We start from the raw sequence: 19,235 nt of genomic DNA on the forward strand, positions 1-19,235 counted from the left end.
TTCAACACCATTAGTCATTAGGAAAATGTAGATCAAAACCACAGTGAGATTCCACTTCATACCCACTAGGTTGGTTAAAATAATAAAAGACATAAAGTGTTTAGCCTGATTTAATCATTCTACATTATAAACATATATCAAAACATCACATTGTACCTTATAAACATATATAACAGTTATTTTTCAATTAAAATAAAATTAAATAATATTAAAAAAACAAAACAAAGGAAAAATAGTAAGTATTGATGAAGATGTGGAGAAATTGGAGCCCTTATCATATATTGCTGGTGGGATTGTAAAATACTTCAGACACTCAAAACAGTTTGGCAATTCCTCAAAATGTTAAACATGGAATTATTGGCCAGGCGCGGTGGCTCATGCCTGTAATCCCAGCACTTTGGGAGGCCAAGGCGGGCGGATCGCGAGGTCAGAAGATTGAAACCATCCTGGCTAACACGGTGAAGCCCTGTCTCTACTAAAAATACAAAAAATTAGCCAGGCATGGTGGCAGGTGCCTGTAGTCCCAGCTGCTCGGGAGGCTGAGGTAGGAAAATGGCGTGAACCCGGGAGGCGGAGCTTGCAGTGAGCCGAGATAGCGCCACTGCACTCCAGCCTGGGCGACAGAGCAAGACTCCGTCTCAAACAAACAAACAAAAAACCATGGAATTATTATATGACCCAGCAATTCTACTCCTAGGTATATGCCCAACAGAATTGAAAACCTATGTCCACATGAAAACATGTACATAAATGTTCATTGCAGCATCATTCATCATAGGAAAGAAATGACAACAGACTAAATCTTCATTAACTGATGAATAGATTAACAAAATGAGGTATACCCATATGATAGAATATTATTCAGCAAATAAAAAGAAAAAAACAATGAAGCACTAATAGATGCTACAACATGGATGAGCCTCAAAAAATTATGCTAAGTGAAGCACACACAGAAAGCCACATATTCTATGATTCATTTATATGAAATGTCCAGAATAGGCAAATCCATAGAAACAGAAAGTAGAATAATGGTTGCCAGGGGCTGAGAAGAGGAAATGGTAAGTAGTTGCCAGTGAGTATTAGGTTTCTTTTTTCATGCTGAAAATACTCTGAAATTAGATAGTGGTGATGGTTGTACAACTCTGTGCTGTACTATGCAATTGTACACTTTAAAAGGCTGAATTTTATAGTGTGTGAATTATATCACAATAAAGCCATTGTTTCTAAAATGTACTCAGAGTACTTGTTGGCACAGAGTAAGTACTATGTTTCCAAATAGTCACTGCCCTCTCCCTGGGATGTCTTAGCATGTGACTTACCTTAGCCAATGAAATGTGCCTCTGGTCGTGCGTGGTGGCTCACGCCTGTAATTCCAGCACTTTGGGAGGCCGAGACGGGTGGATCATGAGGTCAGGAGTTCGAGACCAGCCTGGCCAACATAGTTAAACCCTGTCTCTACTAAAAATACACACACACACACACACACACACACACACACACACACACACACACACAAATTAGCCGGGCATGGTGATGCACTCCTACAGTCCCAGCTACTCGAGAGGCTGAGGCAGGAAAATCGCTTGAACCCGGGAGGCAGAGGTTGCAATGAGCCGAGATCGCGCTACTGCACTTCAGCCTGGGAGACAGAGTGAGACTCCAGCTCAAAAAAAAAAAAAAAAAAAAAAAAAAAAAAAAAAGAAATGTGCCTCGAAATGATGTATATCACATCCAGGGAGAAGTTTTGGGAACGAGCATGTGGTTCACTGTATCCCTTTGCCCTCTGCCACAACACTCAGCAATGTTCAAAATAGAAGTAGCATCATCAGCCTGGGTCCTAGAGTAAAAACAGCATAGAGCAGAGCCACAGCCAGCATTTGATGGACACACAGCATGAGTGAGAACTGATGTAAACCACTGAGATTTCAGAGTATTTGTTAACACAGTAAAATCCAGCCTATCCTGACTAATGCAGGATATTACTGTATAATAATAACTACTATTATCATTACCACTACTAGCAATCAGAAAGTAGAGACTGTTGTGCAATCACCTCAAACAATACTTCCAATGTGCCACACATGGCAAACATGTGGAGATACCATGTGGACAGAGGACACAGATGAGAAGTCAAGTCAGAAGGAACATTCACATCAATAACTCCTTACCAAGCAGGCTGTACTGGTTCTGGGGAATTCAGAGATGCCATGCACAATCTTTCTCAGGGAACTCAGCTAACAACAGCAGCTGCTGTTGATTGAACACTTACTATGTGCCAAACCCTTTAGGCTCCAGTACACGCATTGTCTCCAGTCTCACCAAAGAGCAGTTTGGTGATGAACAAGAAACGTCTCCAATTTTCACCCACAAATAAACAATTCTATTTTAGAGAAATTAGTGAAGCAAATGAAAGGTTGTGGGATCCGTTTAAAATAGCTGCAGAGTGTCAGCGGCTGTGAGCCAGACCAAACAGCACACCTTCCCACACACCCTACTTGGGCCTGTGATTACTCAAATCCCAGCACTGGCCTGGGGAGCTGCCCACCAGGAACATCCCTCCACAGCACAACTAGAAGGCAGCTTGCCAGAAAAGGGCAGAGCTGGACCTGCCTTCAGCCTCTGAATGGACTAAGAGTTAACAAGTGGAAATGCATGAAATTGTTCTTTAAAAATTTGTGCTTAACATCATGACTCCCATGCTTTGGTTTTCTACCACTTCACCCGGCAGCTTGCTTTTGTAGTTCTGGCACGAATTCAGCCGGGCCGAGGGAGCTGGGAGAGGGAAATGGCTCACGGACTCCTGGGAAGCCGAAGCTTGACCTTAAGAGTATTTGGTGGTAAGGAGGCTGCAGAGACAAATATTCATTCATGTGCTAAAGGTTTTAAAACTCTCTCTTTGTAAATGGAGCATGGTTAGTCTAATTCTGCACTCCAGTGACAGGCACAAGGACAGATGCTGGACCTTGAGACATACAAAAGTGACAAAGCAGGCTGATGAATAAGATGTCATCTCTTCTACCCACGACGAAGTCATCCTGGTTGAGGTTAGGCAGGGACACACAAAATTGTGCCTTGAATGTAGAAGTACAGCAAGCACCAACGGGGTGTATCTGTTCCTGTCCTGGGACAGGAAGGGCATAGGTGACACCAGAGACTAGGAAAGCCTCTGCTGGAGGGGAAGAGCCCCTTGGTGGGGGGGAGAGACAAGGCTTGACTGGTTTGCTGTGGAGGGGGTGGTGTGCAATGGCTGCCGTCCCGCCCTCTGAGGCAGAGGCAGGGAACAGTTAGGAGCTCCCAGGTGCATCTCAACTGCCACAGCATCTCAGCCTTGGAGTCTCTCATGTGTACAGTATGCATTTCCTTTAAAAAAAAATCAGAGAAACAACATCTTTAAAGCCAACCAGTTTCTTTCCACCTGACCCTGCTTTCTCCTGTAACTGAGGACAGCCTCAGAGAAGACGCTATGTGGTCTCTGAAAAGGTGGCCAACCGTAGGCAACAGGGGAGTGAGGACACAGCAGCCTTCTGATCTCACCGTGGACACAGTGAACTGACAGTCAGTTCAGGAGGAGTTAAAAAGTTCTCTGGGCCTGGTTTAAGATGCTCATTTTCAGACATTCTTGGTAAAATCTGGAGTGCAGGAGAGATGCAGCTATAGACCCAGTTAGGTGACATCAGCAGGTCACCTCTGAGCAGGTCATAGGGTAGGAGAGAATGGGGCGTGGTACATAAAGGTTGTGGCAGGGTCACGGGCACCATCCTGTACACAGGGTGGGGAATGGGCAGGGAGGGGGTAGGGACGCAAAATAAGCCCCTCCCCCAAGTTGAAGGTAACCTCTGAATTCCCACGGCAGTGCTTCTGTTCTCCTGTATCTCTTGCCCCATGCATGAGGGTAGGAGTTGGTCTGGTTCATCTTTGCTTCCTCAACAGTGACTGATCTGTGCCTTGTGCCAAAGCAATATTGTGTAATTAGAGGACTCTGGAGCTAGGCTGGCTGCATTGGAATCCTGGACTTTCTACTGATATTTGTATTTCACAGATGTTTACCTCGTTTCAATAATGAAGACATTGAGGTAAAATGACTTCTTCAGTTATTCATGCATTCATTCAACAAATATTTATTGAGAGCCAAGGCACTGCTGGGATAGAGATAAAAATCTCTGCACTCATAAAGCTTGCATTCTGGTGTGGAGATAAACAATAAACCAACAAATATGTAAAATGGGTAGGATGTCAGACTGTAATCACTGCTATGGAGAAAAGTAAAGCTAGGAAGAGGCTTTTTCAACGGAAGGATCAGAAAAGGCCTCCTGTGCAGGTTGAGCAGAGACCTGGTGGAGGTGGGGAGCTGCCTTGTGGTATTTAGCTGAGCATCCTAGGAAGGGCAGGGTCCTGATGGGAGTCTGGTGTGTCCATGGATCAGCAAGGAGGTCATAATTTTTTGTTGTTTGTCCAGGATTAATCAATACAAAGCTTGAGTCCCAGTCTAGTGCTCTAGTGCTAGAATTTTACGCCTAAACATTTTCTTATTTCATGGGCGCTGCAAATTTTATAACCGCAGGTTTTACTTTTTTTCCTTCTAAATATCTTTATTTGAATATCTTTAGTAAATAAGTTGACTTTAAGTTCTTTATTTCTTTTGAGATGGGGTCTTGCTATGTTGCTCAGGCTGGTCTTGAACTCCTGGGCTCAAGTGATCCTCCTGTCTTGGCCTCCCAAAGTGTTGGGATTACAGGCATGAGCCACCATGCCTGGCTGATGCTAAATTCTTAACATGCCTAGTATTTTTTTTTTTTATCATTTTAACCATTTTTAAATGCACAACTCAGTGGCATTAAGTACAATCAGTGTCATGCAGCCATGACCACTATCCATCTCCAAAACTTTTCCAGCATTCCAAACAAAAGTTCTGTATTCATTATGCCGTTAACTCTCTTCCCTCACCTCCACTGCTGGGTAATGTCTACTCTATTTCTGTCTCTATGAATTTGCCTGTTCTAGATATCTCATATAAGTGGAACCATACTATGTGTCTGGCTTATTTTACTTAGCATGTTTTCAAGGTTCATCTATTTTGTAGCATTATACTTTTACTTTTTTATGGCTGAATAGTATTCCGTTGTATATGTAGTATATACCACATTTTACTTATCCATTCACCTGTTGGTCATATGGGTTGTTCCCACATGTTGGCTATCATGAGTAATGCTGCTGTGAACATTGATGTACAAGTATCTGAGTTACTGCTTTGAGTATATGTCTAGAAGTGGAATTGCTGGGTTACATGGTAATTCTACAATTAACATTTTTAAAGACCACTGAACTGTTTCTCACAGAGGCTACACCATTTTCCACTCCCAGCAGCAATGTACAAGGGTTCCAGTTTTTCCACATATTTTGCCAACGGTTTTTTTTTTTCTTTTGAGCTCCCGGGTTTTCACAGGGCATATTTTCATTTTTTAAATAGCCATCCTAATAGGTGTGTAAAATGGTACCTCGTTGTGGTTCAGATACTACTTTTTTCACTTACTGGAAACAGAGTCAAATTTGTGATGCATCTTTAATAGGGGTGTGTGTATATATATATGTGTGTGTGTGTATGTGTATAAATATATACATATAATTTTTTTTTTAAAGAGACTGGGGCTTGCTATCTTGCCCAGACTGGTCTCCAACTCCTGGCCTCAAGGGATCCTCCCATGTCATCTTCCCCAAGTGTTGGGATTACAGGCATGAATCACGGTACCTGGCTGGTGTGTGTGTGTGTGTGTGTGTGTGTGTGTGTGTGTGTGTGTGTGTGTAGTTTATGTTTTTGTATTTTACAAACCCTTGTGTCAAGGGCTGACTTTCAATAGATTGCAGTGAGGGAGCTGCTCTGCCATTTACAAAACCCCAAATGATGTATATATTCTTATGTTTGGCCCGAGTGGCTCTTTTTATGACCCAATTCTAAATTTATAGCAGTGGTTCTCAACTAGCAGTGATTTTCATTCTCTGTCCTTCCTGCTGGTGACATTTGCCCATGTTTGGAGACATTTTGGGTTGTCCCAACTAAAGGAGGGGGTGTTACTGGCATCTACTGGGTAGAGGCCAGGGATGCTGCAAAACATCCTACAATGTACAGGGCCTCCCAAAACAGAATTATTTGGCTACTTCCAAATGTCAGTGACAAAGTGGAGACTCCCTGGATTATATAGCTTGTCATATTTCAGGTATCTACAAAACGTACCTTAATTCCTGTTGGGAATAAAGCAGAATATATAGTAAGCTCTTGCTTGTGAACTAAATGACATTAACATTGTGATAAAGATGCAGAAGGTATAACTTTCCTTTTATGATAGTAGCTATATGTGTACTCAAATTATATATAATTGAATGTATTTATTGAATTAGTTGCTAATTAATAACCTAAAGTACAATGTGAGATGAAAATACTGCTATTGAGATTTCCAAAAAATTACCATGTTCCTGAAGGAAACAAACCTAGACATCTTTCACTAAAGATGGTCTTTCATTAAATTAAAAAATATTTACTGGGCCGGGCGTGGTGGCTCACGACTGAAATCCCAGCACTTTGGGAGGCTGAGGCGGGCGGATCACCTGAGGTCGGGAGTTCGAGACCAGCCTGACCAACATGGAGAAACCCCGTCTCTACTAAAAATACAAAATTGCCGGGTGTGGTGGCGCATGCTTGTAATCCCAGCTACTCAGGAGGCTGAGGCAGGAGAATCATTTGAACCCAGGAGGAGGTTGCAGTGAGCCGAGATCTTGCCATTGCACCCCAGCCTGGGCAACATGAGTGAAACTCCATCTCAAAAAAAAAAAAAAAAAAAAAAAAAAAAAAAAAAAAAAATTACTGAATGCAATCACGTGCCAGATTCTCTGTTTAGCACTAAAAATATGTGGGTGGACCAGGTGGATGTAGTCCCTGCACCTTCGGAGCACAAACCTTGCTAATGAACGTTTCACATCAGGCCAACCTTTTTTTTTTTTTTTTTTTGACATGGAGTCTTGCTCTGTCGCCCAGGCTGGAGTGCAGTAGTGTGATCACGGCTCACTGCAACCTCCACCTCCCGGGTTCAAGCGATTCTTCTGTGTCAGCCTCCTGAGTAGCTGTGACTACAGGCATGCACCACCACACCTGGCTAATTTTTGTATTTTTAGTAGAGAGAGGGTTTCACCATGTTGGCCAGGCTGTTCTCGAACTTCTGAGCTCAAGTGATCTGCCCGCCTCGGCCTCCGAAAGTACTGGGATTACAGGTGTGAGCCACCGCGCCCCACCCATTTGTTAACAGTGTTTTGATGCCCCTCCTCTTTTAAAGTTGAAAAGCTGAAGGAAACAGAAATTCTTATAAAATGGAAAACTTTAATTGTTTAAAGAAAAGGCACAAGTAAACATTTCAGGTTATCATACAATGTTACAATAAAAAATTCCAATAGCAAAATGAAACACATTATAACTTTGCTTCTTGGTAGTATACTGAATGTATTATTCTATCATCTCCTCTTTGGAGTAAAAAGAAGGGATAGGCAGATCAATGGATGTGATGTAAAAACTTGGATCATAAATAGCATCCACTATACCTTTAACCAGAAATTAAACTTCAGTAGAATTAAAATTAATTTTTAAAACTTAGTTTTGTTAATAATAGAGCAGCAGTAACTTTCAAGCTAAAACTCATTGTTTTGGTAAGTAAATAACTGATTTCATGAAATGTTCGCTGTCAATGTCTGGTATGTTAATATACATTAATCAAGCTGGTCATGAAACAGTTTTACCAAAATATAATTCATATACTTATTTTACTTTAAACCTGAATATTACAGTACATTATATAAAAGATAAATGAGAATAAGGAACTAAATTATTTCTTACGATGTCAGAAATAATATACTTAAAAAGGTGTAGACCTTATTTTCAATCAAAGGCACTATCTGGAGAGTTAACAAGCTGCATCATGTTCAGAATTGAGAAAAAGTTTTTCTCCTTCCCAAATAACTGGCTGATTAGTAGAAACCTGTCATCTCAGCAAACACTGAATACCTAGTATCTAGCCAAAAAACAAACAAACAAACAAACAAACAAAAAAGACGGTGGGGGCAGAAATTGTGTAAAATTACATCTTTGACTTCTTTTCCCAGGATTTTTTTTTTTTTTAAAGAGACAGGGTCTTGCCATGTTGCCCAGGTTGGAGTGCAGTGGTTATTCTTTCACAGGTGTGATCATTACACACTACAGCCCCAAACTCCTGTACTCTAGTGATCCTCCTGCCTCAGCCTCTTGAGTAGGTGGGACTATAGGAGTGTGCCAATTTCTAAAAAGGCTGTTGAAGTGTTTTCTTGATCTAAAAGTGTCTGTTTCATTAACTCAATGCAATTTCCATTTTATTCACATCACTTGTATCCTCTACTCTCAGCTTGTCAACCCAGGATGGCAATGACACCAGGAAGGTAACTGTCCCAAGGGAGCAAGCTTTCTTATTATGAGTCATTTCATTCACTTTTCTCCCCTGAATATACTCAACTCTAAGTGTTTAACTTAATAACATTCAAATATCACAAAATGTCAGTAATTAAATAAAATTCATCGAGAACATTGTTCAATGCTTCAAAGTCTTGAACAACATACTTACATTAATTTGAATGAAAAGGAGTCAAACCAAGGCATAATATCCTATTGCATCCTAAAGGCCTGGGAGATTTTAAACTCTTCTAAGGTGTATTTGAATCAGATCTTCAAAGAAAAGAGTGTTATTTCTAGTTTTTTGTTGTCCAAATTACAAGAGTTTCAACGGATTAAGGTTTCCTTACCATGATTCTTTTAACACCTAATTCCTAATCAGAAATGGTACTTAAGAATATCAACGTTTAGAATTCAAACATGATTCTAGAAAATTTCTTATCTTAAAGTCAAACTATAACCTTTACTCAATAAAGCATACTCTTAAAGGTCTGTGATGCATGCTTTAAAGAACAGTGATGGGATTCTGGAGTTCTTTCCTTTCTTTCTCCTTCTCCAAAGATACAGATATCTTTCTACAGTTTTCTATGGAATAAGAGACTTCATCATATAAAATGGCTGGCATGTTTTCCCTTTTGAATAGTTCTGATTATAATATCCACCATGAAATTTTACGTTTCCAAATCATAAGCTTAATAGCAAAAGCAAACAATTTGACCTACCACTGAGCTAAATTGAAGAAGAAAAACCTGCATTTTAGAGTATCTGTTATCAAGGGTTAGCAAACTTTTTCTGTAAAGGATCAGATAAATATTTTAGGCTACCTGGGCCATATGGTCTCCCTTGCAATGACTCAACTCTGCTACTGTAGCACAAAGCGGCCATACACAATATTTAAAAGGGTGAGCATGGGTGTGCCCCAATAAAACTTTACTTATGGACACTGCAATTTGAATTTCATATAATTTTCATGTGACACAAAATATCAGTCTTTGGAATTTTTTTCCCAACTATTTAAAAAAGTAAAAACTGGCAGCTGACTGCAATAGCTTGTAGGCTGCACTTTGCTGACCCCTGGTCCAGATCATTCAGATTTCTTGATGTGAGGGTCAAAGCAATAATGTGGCCATGCATCATCTCACTTCACTTGGACATTGATAGCTTTCTGGGCTGATAGTATAGAACTCCGAACAAAAATCCCCAAAGCACAAGACAATCCTACGAGTAAGTAGTATCTACACTCACAGACTGTGTAGAGCTTGTAAGTGTTGATACTCATCTATCTATCTGTATATATATTCAGGAAACATTTAAATCAAATTCATTTAAATTATGTTGTCAAAAAAGCAGGGAATTGCCAGGTGTGGTGGCTTACGTCTAGTAATCCCAGCACTTTGGGAGGTCAAAGTGGGTGGATCACCTGAGGTCAGAAGTTTGAGATCAGCCTGGCCAACATAGCGAAACCCCATCTCTACTAAAAATACAAAAATTAGCCAGTTGTGGTGGCGTGCACCTGTAGTCCCAGCTACTTGGGAGCTGAGGCAGGAGAATCGCTTGAACCCGGGAGGTGGAGGTTGCAGTGAGCCAAGATCGTACCACTGCACTCCAGCCTGAGTGCAGTGAGACTTCATCTCAAAAAACAAAAATAAAAACAAAACAAAACAGAGAATTGAGAAATTCTTCAGCTGAACCCTTTCAAAAGCTTTGGTGTTAGGGAGATCTAGGTTAAAATCTTGGCTCTTGCTGGGAGCAGTAGCTCGCACCTGTAATCCCCACACTTTGGGAGGCTGAGGCAGGAGGACCACTTGAGGCCAGGAGTTCAAGACCAGCCTGGACAACACAGTGAGACACCTGTCTCTATATTAAAAAAAATCTTGGCTCTGCTACTTACTAGCTTGTAACCACAGATAAGTTATTTAACCACCAGAATTTAGCCTGGTGTTAAGGACAGACACGCAGGGGTATGTTTTCAATTTCATTTCTCAGGCAAGCAAATAGCTACAAAAACCTTGCTGGAAAGCCTAGTCCACAACGTACCTGAAGGCTTAACTCCTAGTTTTTGACAGAAAACTACTTTTATCTCTTCTACTCTATTTCATATTTTTTTTTTTGCCGCATGCAACATACTGTGCAAAACTGTGCCTCCATACATACTGAATTCTACTTTTCTCTTCCAAGGCTTTTTCCATAGGTTAACAAAATGTTTTTTTTTTCATAGGCTAACAAAAATGAGAGTAGAAAGTACCCAGTCAACATATTCATGTCGTCTTTCCATAGTGCAAGTATAATTTGGGTGTTTTCTCTAACTTATCAGTGACAGGCATCCTGTTTTCTAGGAAATAATATCTAAATGATATAGGAAAAACTGGTAGGAAAGGATTCTTATGGCTTTATCTATAGAACAAAAACTAGAGATTCTGAAGATCATGTTAATAGATTATTTGTAGATATAATTGCTATGTTTCTTGGACCTTAGCCCATTGCTTAAATTATATTCAGTAGAATATTAGCACTAACTAATATGTGCTATAACCTCTTCAGTCATGAAAAATTTAGTAGTTACATACACATGAAATAAAAGATTCCACCAACAGTGTTTTTGAACAGGCATCAGTTATGAATCTGCTAGTATTGAATGCTAAGCAAAATACTAAAGCTCTTAAAACATTAGTGTTTTATTTTTAACTTTTAACCTATTATTTACAGAAGTCCTGTTAGATGCTGAAAGCAGTCATTTTGCAACATGTATGTTCTTCATATAAAATGATGTTCAATGTTAGGTGGTACAGATTTATAAATATGTACAAACAAAACAGTATGTCTGTAGTTAACCTACTACTCTAGTAACCAACACATGGAAGCATCATATGCACATAAAAGTTAAACATTAAAACAAAACTTAAAACTCTCAAAACAGATAATCATGAATTTGTGTTTATAAAATTATATAGAATAAAGGCTTTGTGTGTGGGGACTTTCAGTGGCCCACCAATAATTTTCATGAAAAAATAAAAATAGAAAAAAAAAACCTCCCAGACACAAACAGACAAGGTAGGCTGGGTGCAGTGGCTCACACCTGTAATCCCAGCACTTTGGGAGGCTGAGGCGGGTGGATCACTTGAGGTTAGGAGTTCGAGACCAGCCCAGCCAACATGGTGAAACCCCATCTCTACTAAAAATACAAAAAATTAGCCAGGCGTGGTGGTGCGCACATATAGTCCCAGGTACTCGGGAGGCTGAGGCAGGAAAATTGCTTGAACCTGGGAGGCGGAGGTTGCAGTGAGCTAAGATCACACCACAGCACTCCAGCCTGGGTGACAGACTGAATCTCTGTCTTAAAAAAAAAAACAACAATAAAAAAAAAAACACAAGGTAAATCAGATGTATGTCTTGGTCAAATGTCTGTAGACAGCCACCTTGAGAACAAATTGATAAACATAAATACACAATTTGCTCACTGAGCATAAAATATTGCACAAGAGCAGTTTTGTCTGAAGAAAATTCAATTTTCCATAGTTTTGAACTTCAGAATGGTTCCCACATATAGATATAGTTGCATTTTCTAAACAAGAAACATTAATATTCAGTAATACTGTTAGAACCTTGTTTTACACATTAACCATATACCAGTCTACTTTATGGCAATGGTAAATCAGTGGTAAAGATTTGGCAAAGATAAAAAGGCAGATAAGACTGTAAAATATATATATATATATATATATATATATATATATATATATATATATATATATATATGTACATATGAAACAAATTATTTCCAAAAAGCCCTAATCATATGATAACTGATCCCTTAAATAAATCCATAGTCTAGGTCACAGTGATGGTCAGACAGTGGTTGAATACGACTCTCTTCTTCTCGGGGGCCGCTCCTTTTGAACCACTTGGTTGCTCTCTCTGGTCTCCAGCACACTGTCTTCTGTTTCGCTCTCACTACCATCTGCCACTGCGGGGTCCAAAGACATCGAACCAGATTTTCCGTGCAAAGGAAAACCAACACCAGTTTCCTGTAAGGAATTATCTATAAAATCTTCATCGGAGGAATGGAATGATTCATCATCTCCTATTAAATGGTTGACAATGTGGATTCCATCAAAAGGAGGTTGGCCTGAGAAGCCCCTCTGGCCTTTTAGGCACCTGAGCTGTTAAAACAAAATCCAAGTTAATACAGTCAAATGGGGGAAACACACACACGCCAAAAAGCAAACATTCCATGTTTAAGGAAGAAGATGCCTTATTATTTTTCTATTTACAGGTATAATCATAGTTACTAATTTTTGAGTGCCTTCTATGTGTTATATATAATGGGCTCATAATTATTTTTATTTTATTTTTTTTGAGACAGGTCTCAGTCTCACTTTGTCACCCAGGCTGGAGTGCAGTGGTGCGATCTCGGCTCACTGCAACCTCCGCCTCCCAGGCTTAAGCGATTCTCCCACCTCAGCCTCCTGAGTAGCTGGGACTACAGGCGTGTGTCACCATGCCTGGCTAATTTTTTTGTATTTTTTGTAGACACGGGGTTTCACCATGTTGCCCAGGCTGGTCTCAAACTCCTGGGCTCAAGCAATCTGCCTGCCTCAGTCTCCCAAAGTGTTGGGATTACAGGTGTGAGCCACCACACCTGGCCTGTAACTTACTTTAATTGAATAATAACAACCGTCCTATGTGATAGATTTTAGTATTTACTTTTCTCATTCTACAGATTAGGAAATGGAGACTCAGGAAGAGTAACTTGCTAAGGACATATATAGCTAGTAGCAAAGTTTAGATTCAAACTAAATCTTCATTATACTAGAGATAATATAATGGACTCCATGTACCCATCACCTAATTTCAACAAGTAACACCCATCATGGACAATCTTTTTACATTACACACCTCTTGTTCCTGGATAATTTTGAGGTAAACCCCAGACATCCTATCAGTTTATCTGTAAATATTTTGCTGGTATTTCTAGAAGGTATGAACTTAAAAACCATACTATCACACACACTATCTTGAGAGAATGTCTCCATAGTTCTGTAAATGATGAAAATGATTTATAAATCATTAAAACTTTGCTAAGAGTCTCCATCCTGTTATAATAGCCCAAAGGCCAGCATATCACCGTCACTTACTGTGGGAGAGGAATGCTGCTTCCCACTCATGAGGTTTCCTTCTGCATGGGGGGAGTGCCAGTCCGGTATAACATTTCTGCCTTCTCTCCCCAACTCCCCCTGGGGAGAAGGTGAGGCTTCTCTTAGTGGGGAGGAGGAGAGAGGAATGGTATGCCTCACTCATCTCTTTTCCCTTTCTTCCCATCTTTTAGAATGAGGCTCTAGTCCTCAATCCCTGGAGTTTTATAGTACAAGACCCTCACATAAGGAGGCTTAAGGAGGTCAAAAGCTACCTGTTACTGGGTGGGCAAGTCTGACTAATTCTAGAGTTTAGTATTGAAAAAATTGTGCCACATTTAAATCTAAACCACATTTTCCAAAACCAGTTTTATCAGAATTAAAACTGATTTATTTTCATCATCTGCCACTTCTTTGCTCAAGTTTCCTCAAACTCCCAAATCCACAACCATGACAGTACCAGTTCTACTCACATACAATTAAGTCATCAGCTCTGCCCTCAAGAGTTTATGTTTTAAAGTTTGATTTTGACATTCTGTCACTTATTTCATTTCTCTCATGCACCATGAATTTTCTCCTACAATAAAGTGGAAGAGTAAAAAACCAAAACCAAAAACAAGAATTAGCTACCAAATATCTACTCTGACTATTAAGAATCTTGCTAAAATATGCTCCACGTCTCCTACCCTCATCCTTGTTTCTCAGGGACAAACTCCTAGTCACAATCTTTCAATTCTTTAGATAAAGGCAATGTGAAATATTCAGGAAATATTACATACACTTTCAAAACTAACGGTCCTGAGAATAAAGACATTACAGCCTCACCATAATACCTCCCAGCTTTCCTGAAAGACTTCCAGGAAGAAGTGAAGAAACCTCAGCACTTCCCTGCTTGTATATGACAACAAGAATCAGCAGGGATGCAGGGACTCAGAACAATGATGTCTGGCCCAAGCAGACCTTCAACTATATTCCTGTGCCCTAGACCAAGTGGACAAATTTATAGTGAGGTACAACGTAATTTAAATAATACCATTCTCCTTGGCAGAACAGAGGGATCTATACTTGGAGTTGAATCTTTAGGAAAAGGGCATATAGCACCACAAAGGCCTCCTCAAGGTTATGATACCCACTGCATTGTTACAACTGCCACGTTCTGATGCAACATCCTATCGCAATATTGCAACACACAATTTATAGCTCCAAGTGTTAAATTAAGTCAGTTAATCTCTTCCTTTCTCTTTTTCCCCCAGACCTTTTTGAAGAAATCATATGGAACATGTGTCTTCCTTCTTCCTGGCTGTTATAAAGGAGGAGTATGGCAGAAGAACCACAACTTCCCAACTGTTTGGAAAGCTGCAGCTTTCCTTTGCTCTAACAAAATTTATTGCAATTAAAACACTGCAGCCTCATCATCAGATGTAATTATAGAAAATTAACTATAGGTTGAAGGGTCATTTCCTCAACATCAAAGGAATCTCATTGAGAGCTGTTAATATGGAATAGCAAACGTAAAGGAATTTATTGGTGGAGAGAAAAAATGGTGAAGGTAAGCGACTATGTGGTAAAACTGAAGCTATCCCTTGGTTATCTGTCCCTTAGACTTAGGTGTGTGCACACTGGATCTGATGAGGGAGGAGTCCTGTACTAGGTCTGGAAGTGGGCATTTGGGGAAGGAATTCCAGGGTACTGACTACCCAGAATATGTTCTAGAAGGGGCTGCATGAACTTCAGGTAGACATGTCTTCTGGGAGTCCTCATCCTGTGGAAAGGGGTTTGGCTAGAAGAAAGCCACAGCTGGGCCCTCTAAAGTGCAGTCCTGGCTATCTGATCTAAATGATATACTGCTTATCCTTATTACCAGACTTTCAGGGGCAAACTATATTTAAGCAACAACAAAAAGCAGGCAGACAATCAACCTTTCCAACTCTCCCTTTCCTCCAAAAAAAAAAAAAGAAAAAAATCCTTATGGGTATTATCAGTAGCAAACTGAGATTAGCATATTTCAAAACGTAATCCACTAGTCATCTGCATAAGAACTGAGGATCTCTGTCAAAAATGTAGAATCCCTCTTGAGATCCAAGGATTTTGAATCCTTTTGAAAAGTGAAATCCCAGAATATACATTTTTTACACGCATTCAGGAAATTTTGAAATATGGTCGGATCTCTGTATCAGTGCGACCCACATTCATGGATTCAAACAATTGTGGGTCCAAAATAATTAGGAGAAAAAAGGATGGTTTCCTCTATACTGAACATGTACCGACTCTTTTCTTGTCATCATCACCTAAACAATACAGTATAACAACTATTTACATTGGATTAGGTGCTAAAAGTAATCTAGAGATGACTCAAAGTATATGGGAGGATGTCTGTAGGTTATATGCAAACACTACATCATTTTATATACAGAACTTGAGCATCCATGGATTTTGGTATCCATAGGGATCCGAAACCAATCCCCCATAGATACCAAGGGATGACAGTGCTCTAAACTCTCAGAATCACCGTGGTAGACCCTCTGGTTCAAATAAAATGGGGCTGAGACAGAAAAAAGTTGATTTAGCTGAAATGGAACTCTTAATTATTTAGGACAAAAGTGCTTCTGAACTATGAACATCTGACTAGTGTCTGGTATGTAGAAATGGATGCGATCTTTCCAGTAGTACAACCAAGCTGTTCCGGGCCAATTCTACCACCTGATGGTTGACACAAGGAAAACTGTTTAAATGAACGTTTTCTGCAACTTTCTTCTTGTGGTATAGAGGTAGGGGCTAAAGACCTGAATAACTCTGATGCACATCTCAGAATAGGGACCACTACTCTAGGCAATGGCTTTTGTTTGTATTTTGGTTTTGTTTGAAATCTCTTTGGGCTTATTAGGGAATCAGGAATCTGATAAAAACTATCCACTTGAAAATTACACATACAATATTATATGCTTTTTTTTTTTTTTTTTTTTTTGGTCGGGGGAGACACGGTCTGGCACTGTTGCCCAGGCTGGAGTGCAGTGGTGCAAACTCAGTTCATTGCAACCTCTGCCTCCTGGGCTTGAGCAATCCTCCTGCTTCAGCCTCCCAAGTAGCTGGGACTACAGGTGCATGGCACCACACCTGGAAAACTTTTGTATTTTTTGTAGAGACGGGGTTTCGCCATTGTTGCCCAGCTGGTCTTGAACTCCTGAGCTCAAGCCATCTGCCTGCCTTGGCCTCCCAAAGTGCTGGGATTACAGGTGTGAACCATCATGACTGGCAAAGCATATGCTTTTGAGGCCCATTGTCTTTCCTAATTTTTGAATACATACTACATGAGTATCTTCAAACACTGAGCAACAACAAAAATTTTTTGTGAAATGCCAGTAAAAACAAAAAGTATTATATTTCCAGGTAAAATGAGACACGGGTTTTTTAAAGTCACTGAATGTGCATGGAAGTATTTTTGAGACTCACTAAGGAAATAGAGGCACCAGCACTCTCTGTAATTTTTAGTAAAAGACTCCTATCTGAGGGAATCTGGGATTCCCCCCAAAAGGATCTCAGTTTGATCACCCTACAATGAAGGTCAACAAGTCCTACCCAAGAATTCAAAACACCTGTCAGTCTTTAGTTCCCTAGTCTTGAAGTTTGAGCAGAGTCACATATTACCAGAGAATTCGAGGATAGTATCTCCGAGAAGCCGGGAAAAAACTCAGTTAAGAGAGAAGGGATGCTTTAAAAAAAAAAAAAGAGGTCTTAGACGTAAATTTCTCTTACCTGAAAGTCATGAGCTTCGAGACTGAAAAGGCCTAGCAAGTGTCCAGGACAGTGGATCAAAGTGGACCTATACCATGATACATCTCAGTGAAGTTTCAGGACACTTGAAAGAAAGAAAAGGTAAAGCTTCCTGCCAAAAGCAAAAACATGTTTTGTATAAAAGATTTAAGAATCAGAATGGCATCAGACTCTCCAACTGCAAAAGACAGAGCAGTGCCTTCAAAATTCTGAGAAAAAATAATGTCTACATTAAAATTTTTATAATCATCTTCAATTTTTAAGATACTCACTCAAACTATCAAATAAATGTGAGGCTAAGTAAGAGTTAAGACCTACAAGGCCTTTTTTTGTTTTGTTTTTAAAACGTCTTTTGGATCAATCATGAGATGTAGAATCTAATAAAACCTTTTTATGATTTATCTCCCATAAACCATTTTTTCAGGAAAGTAGATAATATGCTCCACCAAAATAAAGTACATCAAGGAAAAAAGGCATCTTTTGTCTTTGATGGAAGAAAGAGGAAGTCCAGTACAAAAGTATGGCAAAGGGAATCATCCCTAGGGTAATGAAAAATGTCCCCAAGATGACAGCTGTACAAGAGACCTAGAGGCATCCAGCCCAGACTAGAGACTGGAGCAGTCAGAAGAAAGATTTCTTCAAGAAGATGAAATTCATAGAACACCTAAATTGTTTGGATAGAGGAGATTAACACATAAAAGGAGATTTCGTGACACTAGAGGAGAGTTACACATAAAAGAACACACCAAGCAAATGAAAAAACCAAGGCAATCCTTTGGGCAAATGTATACCAGCAAAACACTCACATTAAAACACTATTTCCATACAACTGATGCTATTTGGCAATAAAAAGGAATGAAGTGCTGATATATGGATGAACTTCAAAAATATTAAGTTGGCCGGGTGCAGTGGCTCATGACTGTAATCCTAGCACTTTGGGAGGCTGAGGTGGGTGGATCAGCTGAGGTCGGTACTTCGAGACCAGCCTGGCCAACATGGGGAAACTCCGTCGTCTCTACTAAAAATACAAAAATTAGTTGGGTGTGGTGGTGCACGCCTGTAATCCCAGCTACTTGGGAGGCTGAGGTATGAGAATTGCTTGAACCCCAGAGGCAGAGTTTGCAGTGAGCTGAGATCATGCCACTGCACTCCAGCCTGGGCAACAGAGTAAGACTCTGTCTTTAAAAAAAAAAAAAAAAAAAGAATATGAAAGCTAAGTGAAAGACACAAGAGACAATATATTATATGATTCCATTATATGAAATGTCCAGAACAGGCAAATCTTATAGAGACAGAAAGTAGATTAGTGGCTGCCTAGGACTGGGGGAGAGAAAAGAAAGGGGGTGATCGCAAATAGGCATGCAGTTTCTTTTGGGGTGTTCTAAAAGTTGTGCATATAGTTGCAAAACTATGCAAACATGCAAAACCCATTGAATTTTACACTTAAAATATTATAATATGTAAGTTATATCTTAATAAAGCTTTTTTTTAAAGTAGAGCCAGAAAAACAAGAACATTATTTTCCAACCCCCCTCATAACACCATCTTGGAAACTTGTGAAAAATAAAATTTCCCAGGCCTGTCTTCAGTCTCCATTCCAGAAGAGAGGCCTGAGAAGAGGCATACTTAAGCACCTATAAGCTTGCTGTTCTGTTGTGAGTGACAGTTATATAATTCTAATGATGTAAATGTAAACTAATGATGTAGATCCTGTAAATTAATCTAACAAAAATCATTACATTAGTAGCATGGTGGGATAAAAAGTCTGTGGGTTCATGGTGGGGGTGAGGAGAATGAAAAAGAGATAAATCTTTCCCCGTGTAAAGATGCCAAAACTGAACACTCAAGAATTAGCGGCCAGGCATGGTGGC

At 39.8% G+C, this 19,235-nt stretch overlaps 1 protein-coding gene across 27 annotated transcripts in view, besides 1 other annotated feature; it reads right to left on the reverse strand.

The window, feature by feature from the left end:
- Positions 3,053–3,242: an enhancer, noted in NCBI's record as "active region_1317". NCBI's record gives its function as "activates an Ori minimal core promoter by ATAC-STARR-seq in GM12878 lymphoblastoid cells {active_cell/tissue: GM12878}" and the evidence as "EXISTENCE:reporter gene assay evidence [ECO:0000049][PMID:35858748]".
- EVI5 (ecotropic viral integration site 5) overlaps positions 7,347–19,235 on the reverse strand; it is a 283,715-nt gene continuing 271,826 nt past the window's right edge. For 14 of the 27 annotated variants that reach the window (XM_047430054.1, XM_017002277.2, XM_017002271.3 and 11 more), the window contains 2 exons: positions 13,597–13,695; positions 12,219–12,621 (listed from right to left, as the gene is read on the reverse strand). In XM_047430054.1, coding sequence (XP_047286010.1) covers positions 12,307–12,621; positions 13,597–13,695 — 414 coding nt within the window. In that variant the 3' untranslated portion in view covers positions 12,219–12,306. Of the gene's footprint in view, positions 12,622–13,596; positions 13,696–19,235 lie in introns of all 27 variants that reach the window. The other 13 variants (NM_005665.6, NM_001308248.2, NM_001377212.1 and 10 more) reach the window with 2 other exon arrangements.

This window comes from Homo sapiens, chromosome 1 (assembly GCF_000001405.40).
Source record: "Homo sapiens chromosome 1, GRCh38.p14 Primary Assembly".
NCBI classification, from domain to species: domain Eukaryota; kingdom Metazoa; phylum Chordata; class Mammalia; order Primates; family Hominidae; genus Homo; species Homo sapiens.